Source organism: Homo sapiens, chromosome 5 (genome assembly GCF_000001405.40).
Source record: "Homo sapiens chromosome 5, GRCh38.p14 Primary Assembly".
Lineage (NCBI taxonomy): Eukaryota > Metazoa > Chordata > Mammalia > Primates > Hominidae > Homo > Homo sapiens.
Window position 1 is genome coordinate 78239321 of NC_000005.10, and position 17577 is coordinate 78256897.

Below are 17577 nucleotides of genomic sequence, written 5' to 3' on the forward strand. Positions count from 1 at the left end.
ATTAGCTGGACATGGTGGCATGCACCTGTAGTCCCAGCCACTCAGGAGGCTGAGGAAGGAGGATCACCTAAACCCAAGAGGTCAAGGCTACAGTAAGCCACGATCATGCCACTGCACTCCAGCCTGGGAGATAGAGAGGAACCCTGTCTCAGAAAAAAAAAAAAAAAAAAAAGCCAGGCACGGTTGGTCACGCCTGTAATCCTAGCACTTTGGGAGGCTGAGGCAGGTAGATTGCTTGAGCTCAGGAGTTCAAGACCAGCCTGGGCCACATGGCGAAACCCTGTCTCTACAAAAAAAAAATATAAAAAACTAGCCAAGCATGGTTGTAAGCGCCTGTAGTCCCAGCTACTTGTGGGGCTGAGGCGGGAGGATCGCTTGAGCCCAGGAGGTCGAGGCTGTAGTGAGCCAAGATCACACCACTGCACTCCAGCCTGAGTGACGAAGTGAGACTCTGTCTCAAAAAAAAAAAAAAAAAAAAATCAAAATCATGATTGGGAGATTAAAAATTCCTCTCTCACCAACACTATCAATCACATTTAGTTAAGTAATATTTAAAGAACATTAGCTCAAAAATGTTTTCTTTTTCTCTGGTTGGTTTTGCTGGCAAGAATACTTTGAACATTTAAAATCATCACGCAAAATAGAAAAAACTTCACTACCAAAAAATGACCATACTATGCATGGAAAATAAAATCATAACTACAAAATTAGCGAACCCTCTGAAATCACACACCCATCCTCCTTACGCTCTCACACTTGCCCGTGCAAGAATGCTTGTGCACTTTCTCTGTCACCATAACCATGTTCCCTGGATTAGAATGTTTCTGTTATTTGTTAATGAGCTTCATCATCTGCCAATAAAATGGCAAACAAATAGTAGCAGTAACACATCTTTAATTTTATGGTGAGGGAAAGGCTTTAAAGCTTTAAACTGAGAAAAATTTATCAATTAACCAGGCTTTTTCAATTAATTTATCAATTAACCAGGGTGGAGAGGAGAATGTAACCTTAATACTAGACTATATTAGTGTAGCTTACAGAAAACAGTATTTTACTGGGACGTGTTCATTCAATAAATCCACATATATGTACTGAGTGCTTAGTACATGTCATGAGTAGTCTGAGAAACTTGGGAAATATTCTTGGGCTCAGTCCTAGAAATCCCAAAAAGCCCCAAATCATCAAGGTCTGGATATACCCAAATAGGTCTTTTTCACTGGACATATGCTATCTTAAAATTAAGTCCCTGGAACAAAATTTAAACTAAACGGGCCTCTAGGAACAGGTGAAAACTCGACAACTTACCATCATTCACTCAGGGGAATCAATCTGTTTTGCTTTTCATATTTTCTACCAAAAATCCAAAGCTAGGATTGTGCCTACTTTTTATTTGATCTTACCTACATTTAAAATTAAGGACATTTTAATCATAACAAAAATCTAGTGATACTTAAGTATCTTATGTTGCATTATACTACATAAAAAGTGTACGGTCCCATGAAAACAAAAGGAATCATAAAAATTATAGATCAAAACAGTACCTCAATATTTTTACTGGCCACATTCTTCACAACAGCAGGAAACAGTTCAGATGCATTTTTCCCTTTTGCAATCATCTGAAGAATAAACAAAACAGACAATATGGGAAATTCTATATATATTAAATATTTAGAAGATTAGGTCAACAAATAAGCTACGTAATTAACCGCTGAACTCTTTTTGAATCATCTTACCTCAACTATTTACAGCAAATAATAAACACTATCTTGTACAGCAATATAAATACACAAATACATAGACACAATAAACAAGAAATATTTAGTAACTTAAGATATATATTTAAATATTTTACTAGTTTTCTCTGGCTAACTGGGTTATAAGTAATTTTTTTTTTTTTTAGACAGATCCTACTCTGTCTCCCAGGCTAGAGTCCAGTGGCTCAATCATAGCTCACGGCAGCTTCGACCTCCCAGGTTTAAGTGATCCCCCACCTCAGCTTCAGCTGAGGCTACAGGCGTATGTCATCATGCCTGGCTAATTTTCGAATTTTTTTGTAGAGACAGGGTACCACTATGTTGCCCAGGCTGGGTAAAAACTTTTTAAAAATATTTAAAAATATTTTTGCTATTTTCTATTTTCCAGGATCTGACATTAAAGATGTACTGCATTTGCAATGGGGGAATTGAGAGAGGGATGAATGTTACTTTGAACCAACTAATTATGTGAACCTTTGCTTTCTTTTCATAGGTTACCCTACTTCTGCAACCATTGCTTTTCAAAGTTGCCTTCACTAAACATTCTTCCTCTGCCCACTAAAGTTCTGCGCACCACCATCTTTTCAGCCTACACTGTTCTACAATCTCTGAAACTCCTAAGATTTCATTCACCGTTAGGACTAACTGTAGCCCAAATCCAGCCTGAGTTCCACATCTCTAACTAGACATCATTAGATTGCTCTCATCCCAAACTTGCTATGTCTAAAGCCAAACTCATCTTTCATGACAAAATGGCATTCATGATAAAATGACATTCATGATAGAATTTCCTATTTCCACAGTTCTCCTAGATACCAAAAACCACAAAATTACCCTGGTCTCTTCTCACAGAAGAGTAACTAAGTCCTGCTAATACTTCTCAGAACACATGTTAATCCCTTCCACTGCTATTATCCTAGCATGGGTCAGTATCACCTCACAGAGAACTTTTCAGTCTCCTCTTCCTATCCATAATGTATATCACTGACAGTTTAATATGCTTAAAACACTACTTTGCACATGTCAGCCCCCGTAAAAGATTTCAAAAGCTTCTGACTGTCTGGAGTCCAAATGATTTTATGTAACATTCAAATATTCTCACAATGTGCACTAACATCTGTTCTTAAACTCTCTGACCTAAGGTTCTATTAAAATGACCTTACTCACTACTAGAATATTCTCTGGCTGCCCCACTATGCCTCTGCTCAGATCATGGCCCCAGCTTTCTAAGTTCTCCCCTTCTATCTAAAGCATCATCAAATTTTACTCCTTCTCCCTTGCTACAGCCATCTCCTAACACCTGGGCCACTGTGTCACCCAATCCTAATTTCTTTCAGAATTTTTTTTTTTAAGACAGTATCTCACTCTGTCGCCCAGCCTGGAACGCAGTGGCACAATCTTGGCTCACTGCAACCTCCGCCTCCCGGGTTCGAGCGATTCTCCTGCTTCAGTCTCCCGAGTAGCTGGGATTACAGGCACCTGATGCCACCACTGGCTAATTTTTGTATTTTTAGTAGAGACGAGGTTTCGCCATGTTGACCAGGCTGGCCTTGAACTCCTGACCTCAAGTGATCCACCCCCCTCGGCCTCCCAAACTGCTGGGATTACAGGCACGTGCCACCATGTGCAGCCTCCTCTAGAATATTTTAATCTACACTTATCATTTAGAATTTCCTGTGCACTATTTTACATTTCTATTTATTTTAGTTTTATATCTATCTGTATTCCCATTTTGTCTTTCTCATTCTCAGATTATAACTTTATATCTTTTAAAAGTCCAGACTTTGGTAACCACAAAATAAAGTTCAAACTATAGGGTAATTTGGGGAAAAGGGATTCCTTATGAATTACATACCATATCTAATAAACTGCCTTTAAAAAGATATTAGCTTTATTAATTTACAACAAATGTTATATAAATATGTGATACTTGAAGCATTAGAATCCCCGTTACCAATTTCTTATAAGAACTTTCTATATGATAGCCTTAAAATATTCTTGAATACAAGCTAGTCTTTTTATATTCTATTTCCTTACCTGTGACATTCTTTTGAGTATTTTGTGAAACCTGCTGAGCACTATGGAGGGTTTACAAAATACTGAAGCTAAGACATCTTTCTATGATTTGTACACCTCTCTCCATTTTCTCATCTTTGAAATAAGAAAAGAGAGGGATTAAATGTTCTGTAGGACCCCTGCCATTCATTCATTCATTCATTCATTCATTCATTCAATGATTACCTAAAGTCAGACATCCTGTCCTATGGTATCCTACTCCATGACTATCTAACTTTATTCCGCAGAACGTTATTCAAATATGGGGAAGGAAAAAAACACCACAATCAAATTCACTCAACAAATATTTGCTGAGAAGATACTTTCTAGCAGGGACCATCCTAGGCCTTAGGGATCCAACCATAACCAATACAAAGTCCTTGCCCATGTGCTGCTTACCTTCTAATGGGGCAAGGGTCAATAAACAATAATAGTGAGGTGGCAATAGACTACTGTGGAGAAAAATAAAGTAGTATCGGGGGATGAGAAGTGCTGAGGTGGAGGTGGGAGTTGCTCTTTTAGATAAGGTGGTCAGAAAAGGCCTTCCTTTTGGCAGGGATGCAAAGGAAGAGAGGAAGGGACCCATGTGACTAGCTAGGGAAACAATGGTTTAGGCATGGCATGTGCCAGGAATAGGAGGCCAGGAGAGCCAGACTGGAGTAAGTGAGGGGAAGAATGGTGAGAGATAAGGTCAGAAATGTATAAACCACTGTAAAATGAGTTGGCTTTTACTATGAGTGAAGCAGGAGACCAATGGAGAGTTGTGAGCAGAGGAAAGACATCATTAAATATTTAGCAATGACTCATATTTTAAAAGGATCTTTCTGGCTGCAATGTGAAAAATAGACCAGAAGATATGATACCATGGAAAACAGAAGGCTACAGCAATTATGCAGAGGAAAGATAGTGAGCACAGTGAGAATGGGCTAGATTTGGGATTTATTCTGAAAATAGATTATATATGATATAAGAAAGAAGGGACATGAATTAAGAAGAACTACTGCCTGTAATCCCGGCACTTTGGGAGGCCAAGGCTGGCAGATTACTTGAGGCCAGGAGTTTGTGACCAGCCCGGCCAACATGCTGAAACCCTGTCTCTACTAAAAACACACACATACACACACAAACACAAAATTAGCCAGGCATGGTGGCAGATGCCTGTAATCCCAGTTACTTGGGAGGCTGAGGCAGGAGAATCACTTGAACCTGGGAGCCGGGGATTGCAGTGAGCCGAGATCACGCCACTGCACTCCAGCCTGTGTGACAGAGTTTGAGACTCCAACTCAAAAGAAAAAAAAAAGAAGAAGGACTACAAATGACTAACTGGAGAAATGGAATTGCCATTTACTATGATGAGAAAGACTAGGGAAGAAGCAGGTATTTGGGGAGATGAGCAATCCAGAGTTTGGTTTCAGATATGCTGAGAAGCCAGCTGAATATATGGGAATAAAGGCTACAGAATACAGGAGACAGCACTGGTTAGCAATATGCATTTGGAAAGGGATGAGATCACTACAGGAGGGCATACAGACAGAGAAGTAGACTGAGTGACAAGACATAGTACAATCCTAAAAGTAGAAATTGTGGCCAGGTGCGGTGGCTCACGCCTGTCATCCCAGCACTTTGGGAGGCCGAGGAGCGTGGATCACAAGGTCTGGAGATCGAGACCATCCTGGCCAACATGCTGAAATCCTGTCTCTACTAAAAATACAAAAATTAGCTGGGTGTGGTGGTACGTGCCTGTAATCCCAGCTACTCAGGAGGCTGAGGCACGAGAATCGCTTGAACCCAGGAGGCGAAGGTTATAGTGAGCCAAGATCGCACCCCTGCACTCCAGCGTGGTGACAGAGCAAGACTCTGTCTCAAAAAAAAAACAAAGTAGAAATTGTGGAGTGTTGGGGACCAGCCTCAAAACCACCCATAGGGTACCCAAAGTCCGGTGGCAACAAAGGATTGAGAAGAGACAAGTTAAGAGTAAAGGTGGGGAGCCAGGGGGCCAGTTGTACTTTTGGAGGCTGCAAAAGGCTCAGAGCTCTGGTCTCCACACTATTTATTGAGTACAATCACTTAGATCTGAGAAGCAGACGTTCAGGGCGAAACAGTGAAAGGGAGGCAATGCGTAATAGGCGTAATCTACAGCGATAGTGGTTTAAATGAATCTCCTTTGTGCTCAAACAGCCTATCTTTAACTTATCAGAGAGCAGCTAGTAGGAGCGGGCTTAACTAGGAGCCTGCACGCCTGTTCACATTCCAGTGTTTCAAAGGAGTGTCTTTCTCCTTGAACACAGTGTTTACAGATAAGAAAGCGGGTCTCCCTCTGAGCATGGGAACATGATGGCAATTAGGAGACTTTCCTCCTCAGAGGCCTCTTGTGGCTTCCACAACTTATTGTCCCATATTTTTATGGCCAGTTTATACAGACACCCCACAAGCCCTTTTCCCAACATGAAGAAAGGAAGAAACCAGCAAAGAAGCTCTTAGACTCCTTGAACCTCAGTTTGAAAGCGGGCAGTCCTTCTCAGTATTCCTCCTTATCCACTCAAATAACATACTTCTCCCACCCTCTCTCCCTTCTGCTTTAGGTAAAAACCCTGTTCCTGGTCCCCTTGTACTCTTTTACCCAGAACAAGGAGCATAGGAATTGAGGGGAGCCACATTTGGGCCCTGAGGGAAAAGTAAGGTTCATAGGTGGAAAGCATAGGAGAATATGTCCTTTTTCATTTTATTTGGTTGAAGTTCCTGATATTTGAAAAAGCTGCAGTACCAGCGATTCTGCCCTTTGAAGGTGACTCTCTAGATAAAAGGTGAGAAAGGAAGACAAGTTTTCAGGTAAAAAGTGAGAGTCATGTTTAGGGAGCAGCTGGGCAAAAGTTGAGGAGATAACATAAGGTCATTTGTAGCTCTAAACTCTCCTAGGTTCTAATCATGCCCTCTGCTAAGCTCTTAGATAGCTTCTACCCAAGGTAGAGATGGAATTCCAGAGTGCCCCAAAGAACATTCACTGGTTGCAGGCATCTGATTAAAAGAGTGATCATCAGTTTCTGATACCTGTTCTCTAACTTCACACATTTGACTTTTATTTTTTTTCATCCTTCAACCTTTGGTGGCCTCAGCCCCAACATCAATGTTTTTACTTACAATGGGTATAGCCTAACAGCACTGTATTTTGGGAAATTTGACTGATTTACTCTCCATCCAATCCTCTATGTTCATGAGGGAGATGGACATAATTTAATTTTTTCATAATGTCTTTGTCTAGTTTTCAGACCAGGATAGCACTGAACTCAGAAATTGAATTCAGAGGTATTTTCTCATATTCTATATTCTGGAAGAGCTTATGTAGAACTGAACGTTCCCTGTAGAAATTTTTTTAATGAAAAATTCAATTACTTTATTAGATATAGGACTATTCAGATAATCTAGTTCTTCTTGAGTAAACATCATAGCTTATCTTTGAAGGATTTTGCTCATTTCAACAAAGTAGTCAAATTTATGGGGCTAATGATGCCTAAAATATTCCCTAATTATCCCTTAAATGTCAACAGGGTCTTGCATTTCTGATATTGATAATTTGTCCTGTTTTTTCTTGGTCACTCTGTCTACAGGTTTATCAATTTTATCTATCTTTTCCAAGGACTAGTTTTTCATTTCACTGATTTTACTCTACTGTTTTTCTCTACTCAATTTCATTGATTTCTACTCTACCTTATTATTTCTTTCTTTAGTTTTAATTTGAGTTTAATTTGCTCTTCTATTTCTGCTATGTTAAGGTAGCTGCTCAGAGCACTGATTGGAAATACTTCTTTTCAAACATAAGCTTTTATTACTATAAATTTCCTTGTAAGTACTGTTTTACCTAAATCCTCCAAACTTTGATATGTGGTTTTTCAATTTCATCCTAATTTCCTTGTGACTTTTACTTTGACTTTGACTCATGGATCATGTCATCATTTCTAAATGTATAAGTTTGATGTATAATTTTCAAATATTTTAAAAAAATTTTGATCTCTTCCAATGACTGTGTTTAGTTTAATTCTATATGGTCAGATAACACACTTGCATAATTTTAATTCTTTTAAGTTTGTTAAGATTGTGTTTTATGGCCCAGAATGTAGTCTATCTTGCTAATATAGATAATAATTATAATATATAGATAATATAGATAATAATATAGATAATAATAATAAAAAGAATGTATATTTCGCTACTGTTGAGTAGACTGCTCTATAAATGTCAGTTAGGTCATATAAGTTGATATTATTCTAGTCTTAAATTTCCTTATTGGTTTTCTATCTCCCTATTCTATTGATTTTTAAGAAAAAAGCACTGACGTCTCTATAATTGTGAATTTGTCAATCTTTCCTGTCAGTTCTAACAGGTTTTTTTTTTTACTCCGTTTTTGAAGCTCTGTTGTTAGACACATGTAAGATTATTATGTCTTTTTGGGAAAATGACTCTTATTGTTATGTTCTTTATCCTAACCATACTATTTGTTCAAAAGTTTACTCTCTCTGATATAAATAGATTCATCTGAACTTTTTTTGGTTAGTGTTTGTATGGTATGCATTTTTCCTTCCTTATAACTTATGTCTTTATATTAAAAGTAGGTTTCTTACAAAGAGCACAGTTGTATCTTCACATTTTCATCCAATATGAAGATCTCTTTTTATTGGTAATGTCAGACCACTTACATGTAATAGAATTATTAACATGGTTAGATTCAGGTCTACCATTTTAGTATCCGTTTCCTGTTTATTCCCTGTATTTTCTGTTCTCCTACTTCCTCTTTTCTCTTTTCCTTAGAAAATTTTTAGTATTTCATATTTTTATATTAACTTTCTGCCTATATCTTTTTATATAATTTACTGGTTCCTCGTAAAAATGCATCATAGGCATAATCTATAGCAATAGCGGTTTAAATGAATCTCCTTTGTGCTCAAACAGCATATCTTTAACTTATCGGATTATCAGATACATAGGTAGATAAACAGACATATAAATATATAAATACAGAAACAGCAAACCTTACACAGTCTACTTACAGTTAACACTGTACCAGATCAAGAAAAATGCAGAAACAGGCAGGGCACAGTGGCTCACGCCTGTAATCCCAGCACTTTGGGAGGCTGAGGCAGGCAGATCACAAGGTCAGGAGTTCAAGACCAGCCTGGCCAATATGGTGAAACCCCATCTCTACTAAAAATACAAAAATTAGCCAGGTGTGGTGGCGTGCACCTGTAGTAGTCCCAGCTACTCAGGAGGCTGAGGCAGAAGAATCACTTGAACCCAGGAGGCAGAGGTTGCAGTGAGCCGAGATCACACCACTACACTCCAGCCTGGGCAACAGAGCGAGACTCTGTCTCAAAAAAAAAAAAAAAAAAAAAAAAGAAAAGAAAAATGCAGAAACATTGCAACCATATAGACTCTTTTATTTCCACCTCCCCACTAGCTTTTATGTTTAGCCACCCATATTAAAAACCTCTCAGATAGTGGGATAACTTAAGAATAAAATTAGTCCTTTATACGTATTTACCATTTTGATTGGTCCGCCTAAATATCCATCTGGTATCATTTCCCTTCAGCCTACACAACGTCTATTAACATTTCATTAAAGTAAACATGTTAGAAATGGATACTCTTAGTCTTTATTTCATCTTCGTTCTTGAAGGATATTTTCAATGGATATAGAGTTCTGGGTTAACAGTTCTCTTCTTTCAGTACTTGAAACATATTGTTCCACTCTCTTCTGGCTGCCATGATTTCTGATGAGAAATCTGCATTTATTCAAATTATTGTTCCCCTCTATGTACCATTTTTTCCCGCTACTTTCAAGACTTTATTTTTGGTTTTCAACCATTTGATTACTGTGTTTATGCGTGGTTTTCTTTTAGTTTATCCTAACTGGCATTTGCTGAGCTTCTTTCATCTATAAATTTGTATCTTGGCTGGGCACGGTGGCTCATGTCTGTAATCCCAGCACTTTGGGAGGCTGAGGAGGGCGGATCACCTGAGATCAGGAGTTCGAGACCAGCCTGACCAACATGGTGAAACCCCATCTCTATTAAAAATACAAAAACTAGCTGGGCATGGTGGGGCTGGGGAGCGGGGGCACCTGTAATCCCAGCTACTCAGGAGACTGAAGCAGGAGAAGCTTGAACCCCAGGGGCAGAGGTTGCAGTAAGCCGAGATTGCACAATGCACTCCAGCCTGGGCGACAAGAGTGAGACTCCGTCTCAAAAAATAAAAATAAAAATAAAAATTGTATCTTTCATCAAATTTGGGAAGTTTTCTACCATTATTTCTTCAAATATTTTTTCCTACTCCAATCTCTTTCTCCTCTCCTTCTGCTGTTCTAATGATGCATACGTTAGACCTTTAGAATGAACCAACAAAACTCCAAGGCTCTGTTCTTTTCAATCTCTATTCTTCAGAATGATTTTTTTCTTTTTCTTTTTTTTTTTTTTTTTTTTTTGAGACAGAGTCTTGCTGTGTGGCACAGGCTAGACGGCAATGGTGCCATGTTGGCTCACTGCAGCCTCAACCTCTTGGGCTCGAGTGGGCTTTCTGCCTCAGCCTTCTGTGTAGCTGGGACCACAGGCACCCTCCACCATACCTGGCTGATTTTTTGGTATTTCTGTAGAGACAGGGTCTCACTTTGTTGCCCAGGCTGGTCTCGGAACTCCTTGGCTCAAGCAATCCTCAGCCTCCTGAAGTGCTGGGATTACAGGCATGAGCCACCGTGTCCGGCCACAAACTGAATAATTTCTAATGATCTGTCTTCAACTTCTGGCTCTTTCTTCTGTTATCACCATTCTGCTATTGCATCAATCCAGGATATTTTCTATTTTAGATAAAGTACTATCCACATAACAGAAATTTCAACAAATTTCTGCAGGGGTATGGTTCACATAAGATAACATTTTAGGAAACAAGCATCTACCAATCTAGTTACAACCTAAGAAATAAGTGGATGAACTTACTACTTAATCAAAAGTGGACCTAATTTTACCTACTACTTAACTATCAGACAGGCCCTTGGCTCCAATATATTGGTCTTTCTAATAATCTTCAGGGAAGTACCCTGAGGACAACATACCAAACAGCAGAATATATAGTACCTATTCCCAAAGAATCTTAGTACCTATTCCCAAAGAATACTTAAACCCAAAAAAGAAAAATAAAGGAAAAAACAGAAAAACAGTGAAGAACTTAATGAAGACGTACCAATTAAAGACAGAGGGAAGAGTGCTCTCAGGCTCCTTACCCTCAGCTATCTGTTTGTCCCACTCTATTCTAAATAGACATTTGGTCTTCTAATACTTAATTTATTAATACGAATACTACTCTCTTCAACCCACAATGGAGCCTGAAATTATTGATCTTATGAATTTAGAGCCTACAACAGAACCAATTTCAAACAGAAATTCTGGAAAAATAAAGATAAATAACTCTAATGCTTTCTGAGGATGACTTAAGGAGGAAAAAAATAACAGGGCATATAAAAACATTCCACAGTTCAAAAGAAATGGACCCACTGGAGAAGTATGAATAAATTATATGGGGAAAAAGTTGGATATAAAAGAGAAAAACCATGGGAAATATATCTAACTCATATTCTTAGTGAGATTTGAGGGGATGTGGCATTTTTTTAAAAAAGAATGACTTTGGAATAGCAAAGAAAATTTTCAGATAAAGATATAATTACCAAATTTTAAAATATAATGAGAGAAGAAAGGATAATGTCAAAAATTCTAAACTGACTTCAATGCCAGCTCAAAAAAAATCCTAAAAATGACAGGAAAGGTTAGAGAGGTCAATTTGACAGGGGAGAAGACAGAGGCAAACAGAGGATGGATCCAAAAAATATAATACACACATAATAGGAAGGCTAAGAGAGAACTGGCAGACTGACAGAAAAGGGAGAAAATAAATAGCAGACAAACATTCTCTAAGTAAAACAGATTTAAAATTTTAGAATCAAAGGGTTCATTAGTAACATAACAAATCAGTAAAGAAAAAACACAGACCGTATCTTGAATATTTTCTTTTTCCTCAAAATATTAAAAACATCTACATATCCAGACAGTTGAAACAGATTCTCTAAAAGAGAAAGAGAAAAAGCAATCTCAGAGGCAGAGCAAGATGGTGCAATAGAAAGCTCCACCAATCGTCCCCCCGAGGACAAAAAAGTTAACAACTATCTACACAGAAAAAAACACCTTCATAAGAACCAAAAATCAGGGGAGCACTCACAGGACTTGGTTTGAACTTCATATCACTGAAAGAAGCACAGAAGAGATTAAAAGTAACAGTCCTGAATCACCAATGCCACCCTTTTCCTCAGAGTGGTGACTCCTCTTCCAGCAGCAGTGCATGGTATGGAGGGTATCTCTGGGCACTGGGGAAGGGAGAACACTGCAATTGTGAGGCACTGAACTCTGTGCTGTCCTGTTAGAGCAGAAAGGAAAACCGGACCGAACTCAGCTGATGCCCACCCACAGGGGGAGCATTTAAACCAGCCCTAGCCAGAAAGGAATCCCAGAGGTCCAAACTTGAGTCCCTGGAAAACCTCGCCACCGAGGGCTACAGCACTGTGTGTCTCCAAGTAAACTTGAAAGACAGTCTAGGCCATAAGAACTGCAACTCTTTGGCAAGTCCTACGGCTGAACTAGGCCTAGAGACAATGGAGGGAGCACGCAACATACTGAGATACCACCTGGGGCAGCCAAGGGAGTGCTGACATTATCTCTCCTAACCCCAGGTTGCACAGCTGGTGGCTCCAAAAGAGACCCCTCCCTTCCACTTGAGGAGAGGAGAGGGAAGAGTGGGGAGGACTTTGTCTTGCATCTTGGATACCAGCTCAGCCACAGCAGGATAGGGCACCGGTCAGAGTCATGAGGCCCCCATTCCAGGACCTAACTACTCCCAGACGACATTCCTAGACACACCCTCGTCCAGAAGGGAACTTGCTGCCTTGAAGGAAAGGTCTGAGGCTTGGCAGCATTCATAATCTGCTAACTGAAGAGCCCTTGGGCCCTGAATAACCAGCAGCAATATCCAGGTACTACATTGAGGGCCTTGGTGAACCACTGAGACTTGTTGGCTTCAGGTGAGACTCAGCACATTCCCAGCTGTGGTGGCTATGGGGCAAAACTCCTGCTTGAGAACAGCAGGGGGGAAAGTAAAAGGGGCTCTGCCTTGCCCCCTAGGTACCAGTACAGCCACAGCAGGGTAGAGCACCAAGTGGGCTCTTAGCGTCTTCAATTCTAGGACTTGGCTCTTGGACAGCATTTCTGGACATGTCCTGGGCCAGAAGGGAGCCCACTGTCCTGAAGGGTGAGTCCCAGGCCAAGCAGCATTCATGAAAAGTACTGCCAGAGTTCCCCCGATAGCTTTTCATGAATGCTGACTTAAGAGACCTTGGGCGTTAAGGGACTATGGGGGTACTCTGGCAGTACTCTTTGTGGCCTGGGGTGGTGGTGGCTACAGGTTGAGGCTCCTCTGCCTTCAGAAAGGGGAGGAAGAGTGGGAAGCATTGCACCTTGTGGTTTGAGTGCCAGCTCGGCTGCAATACAACAGAACACTAGGTAGACTTCTAAGGTTTCTGACTCTAGTCCCTGACTCCCAGGGCTCCTAGACAGAACTTCTTGACCCATCCGGGGCCTGGGGGAGCTCGCCACCCTTAAGGGAAGGACACAGGCCTGGTTGGCTTTGCTACCTGCTGACTGTAGAGCCCCAGGGCCTTGAGCAAACATGGCAATAGCCAAGAAGCGGTTACAGCAGGCCTTGTGCAAGACCCAGTCCTGTGCTGGCTTCAGGTCTGACCCAGCACATAGTACCAGTGGCCACACGGGTGCTTGTGTCACCATTCTCAGCTTTATCTGGCTCAAAACAGAGAAGAGAGAGACTCTGTATGTTTGGAAGAAAGTAAGGAAAGAGAACAAGAGTCTCTGCCCGGTAATCCAGATAATTCTCCTAGATCTGTTCTAAGACCATCTAGGCAGTACCTCTATGAGTCTGCAAGAACCACAGTGTTACTGAGCTTGGGGTGCCCCCTAAAGCCAATATAGCTTAGATCACAACACCCACGTTCTTTCAAATATCTGGAAAGACTTCCCAAGAAGGATGGCCAAAAATATGCCAAGGCAGTGAAGACTACAATAAATACCTAACTCTTCAATGCCCAGACACCAAAGAACATCTACTTGCACCAACCTCTATGAGGCTGCAAAAACCACAGCATTATTGGGCTTGGGGCCCAAGTTCCTATGAATACTAGAAAGCCTTCCCAAGAAAGATAAGCATAAACAAGCCCAGGCAGTGATGACTACAATAAATACCTAACGCTCCAATGCCCAAAAACTGATGAACATCTACAAACATCAAGACCATCCAGGAAAATACGACCTCACCAATCAAACTAAATAAGGCACCAAGCACCAATTCTGGAAAAAGAGAAATATGTGACCTTTCAGATACAGAATTCAAAATAGCTGTCTTGAGAAAACTCAAAGAAATTCAAGATCAGAGAAGGAATTAAGAATTCTATCAGATAGGCCAGGCGCGGTGGCTCACGCCTGTAATCCCAGCACTTTGGGAGGCTGAGGTAGACGGATCATGAAGTCAGGAGATCGAGACCATCCTAGCTAACACAGTGAAACCCCATCTCTACTAAAAAATATAAAAAATTAGCCGGGCATGGTGGTGGGCACCTGTAGTCCCAACTACTTGGGAGGGTGAGGCAGGAGAATGGCATGAACCCGGGAGGCGGAGCTTGCAGATCATGCCACTGCACTCCAGCCTGGGCGACAGAGCAAGACTCCACCTCAAAAAAAAAAAAAAAAGAATTCTATCAGATAAATTTAACAAAGAGATTGAAACAGTTAAAAAGAATCAATCAGAAATTCTAGAGTTAAAAAATGCAGTTGATATACTGAAGAATGCATCAGAGTCTCTTATCAGCAGAATTGATCAAGCAGAAGAAAGAATTCATGAGCTTGAAGACAGGCTCTTTGGAAATACACGGTCAGAGGAGACCAAAGAAAAAAGAATAAAGAAGAATGAAGCATGCCTAAAAGATCTAGAAAACAGCCTCAAAAGGGCAAATTTAAGAGTTATTGTCCTTAAAGGGAAGGTAGAGAAATCGATGGCGGTAGAAAGTTTATTCAAAGGGATAATATCAGAGAACTTCCCAAACCTAGAGAAAGATATCAACATTCAAGTACAAGAAGGTTATAGAACATCAAGCAGATTTAAGCTAAAGAAGCCTACCTCGAGACATTTAATAATCAGACTCCCAAAGGTCAAGGATAGAGAAAGGATCCTAAAAGCAGCAAGAGAAAAAGAACAAATAACATACAACGGAGCTCCAATATGGTGGCAGTAGACTTTTCAGTGGAAACAGGTAAGGTTTCCTAACATATTTAAAAGTGCTGAAGAAAAGTAACTTTCACCTCAGAATAGTATATCCAGTGAAAATATCCTTCAAACATGAAGAAATAAACTTTCCCAAACAAAAGCTGAGGGATTTCATCAATGCCAGACCTGTCCTACAAGAAATGCTAAAGGGAGTACTTCAATCAGAAAGAAAATGACATTAATGAGCAATAAATAATCACCTGAAGGTACAAAACTAACTGGTAATAGTAAGTACACAGAAAAACATAGAATATTATAAAACTGTAGCTGTGATGTATAAACTATTCTTATCCTGAGTAGAAAAACTAAATGATGAACCAATCAAAAATGGTAACTACAAGTTTTCAGGACATGGTACAATAAGATATAAACAGAAACAACAAAAGGTTAAAAAGTGAGGAGACGAAGTTAAAGCACGGAGTTTTTATTAGTTTTCTTTTTGCTTGTTTGTTTATGCAAATAGTGTTAAATTACTATCAGGTTAAAATAATGGATTATAAGATAGTATTTGCAAGCCTCATGGTAACCTCAAACCAAAAACATACAAGATATATAGAAAAAGTAAAAAACAAAAAACTAAATCATATTACCAGAGAAAATCCCTTCACTAGAAGACAGGAAGGAAAGAAAGAAGGAAGAGAAAACCATAAAATAACTAGAAAACAAATAACAAAATAGCAGGAGTAAGTCCTTACTTATCAATAATAACATTTAACATAAATGGACTAAACTCGCCAATCAGAAAAACAGAGTGGCCGAATGGATGAAAAAACAAAACCCATTGATCTGTTGCCCACAAAAAAACACACTGTACCCATAAAAACATATATCAGCTGAAAACAAAGGTATGGAAAATGACATTCCATCCCAATGGAAATGAAAAAAGAGCAGGAGTTGCTATACAATACCAAACAAAATAAGACTTCAAGACAAAAACTATAAGAAGAGACAAAGAAGGTCACTATATGATAAAGGAGTCAATTCAGCAAGAGGATATAACAATTTTAAATATATATGTACCCTACACTGGAGCACCCAGATATATAAAGCAAATATTATTAGAGCTAAAGAGAGAGACAGGCCCAAATGCAATAACAGCTAGGAGACTTCAACATTCCACTTTCAGCATCAGACAGATCTTCCAACAGAAAATCAAGAAACACCACACTTAATCTGCACTATAGACAAAAATGAATCTAATACATATTTACAGAACCTTTTATCCAAGAGCTGCAAAATATACATTCTTTTCCTCAACACATAAATCTTTCTCAAGGATGGACCATATGTTAGGTCACAAAACAAGTCTTAAAAGCGTTCAAAAAATTGAAATAATTGCATCTTCTCTAATCACAATAGAATAAAACTAGAAATTAATAACAAAAGGAATTTTGGAAACTATACAAACACATGGAAATTAAACAATATGCTCCTGAATGACCAGTGGGTCAATGAAGTAATTAAGAAAGAAACTGAAAAATCTAAGAGGGAATTTCATAGCTATAAGTGTCTACATCAAAAAAGAAGAAAAACTTCAAAAGCACAATCTAACGATGCATCTTAAGGAACTAGAAAAGCAGGAGTGAACAAAACACAAAATTAGTAGAAGAAAAGAAATAATAGAGACCAGAGAAGAAATAAATGAAATTGAAATGAAAAAATACAAAAGATCAATGAAACAAAAAGCTTTTTTTGAAAAGTTAAACAAAATTGACAAACCATCAGCCAGACTAAGAAAAAAAAGAGAAAAATCCAAATAAATAAAATCAGAAATGAAAAAGAAGATATTACAACTGATGCTACAGAAATTCAAAGGATCATTAGTGGCTACTATGAGCACCCATATATGCCAATAAATTGGAAAATCTAGAAGAAATGGACAAATTCCTAGATACATACAACCTATCAAGATTGAATCAGGAAGAAATCCAAAACTTGAACAGACCCCAATATCAAATCACAAGATGAAAGCTGTAATAAAAAGTCTCCCACTGAAGAAAAGCCCAGGACCCGATAGCTTAACTGCTAAATTCTACCAAACATTTAAAGAAGAATTAATATCAATCCTACTCAAACTGTTCTGAAAAACAGAGCAGGGAATACTTCCAAACTCATTCTACAAGGCCAGTATTACCCTGATACCAAAACCAGACAAAGACACATCAAGGAAAAAGAAAATGACACCCCAATATCTCTAATGAATATTGATGCAAAAATCCTCAACAAAATGCTAGAAAGCTGAGTTCAACAATACATCAGAAAGATCACTCATCATGACCAAGTGGGATTTATCCCTGGGATGCAAGGATGCTTCAACATACACAAATCAATCAATGTGATACATCATGTC

General features: G+C 39.1%; 1 protein-coding gene across 3 annotated transcripts in view; it reads right to left on the reverse strand.

Moving 5' to 3' along the window:
• Positions 1 to 17577, reverse strand: part of AP3B1 (adaptor related protein complex 3 subunit beta 1) — a 294177-nt gene that overhangs the window by 238799 nt on the left and 37801 nt on the right. For all 3 annotated transcript variants that reach the window (NM_001271769.2, NM_003664.5, NM_001410752.1), the window contains exon 3: positions 1542 to 1616. In NM_001271769.2, coding sequence (NP_001258698.1) covers positions 1542 to 1616 — 75 coding nt within the window. The remainder of the gene's footprint in view (positions 1 to 1541; positions 1617 to 17577) is intronic.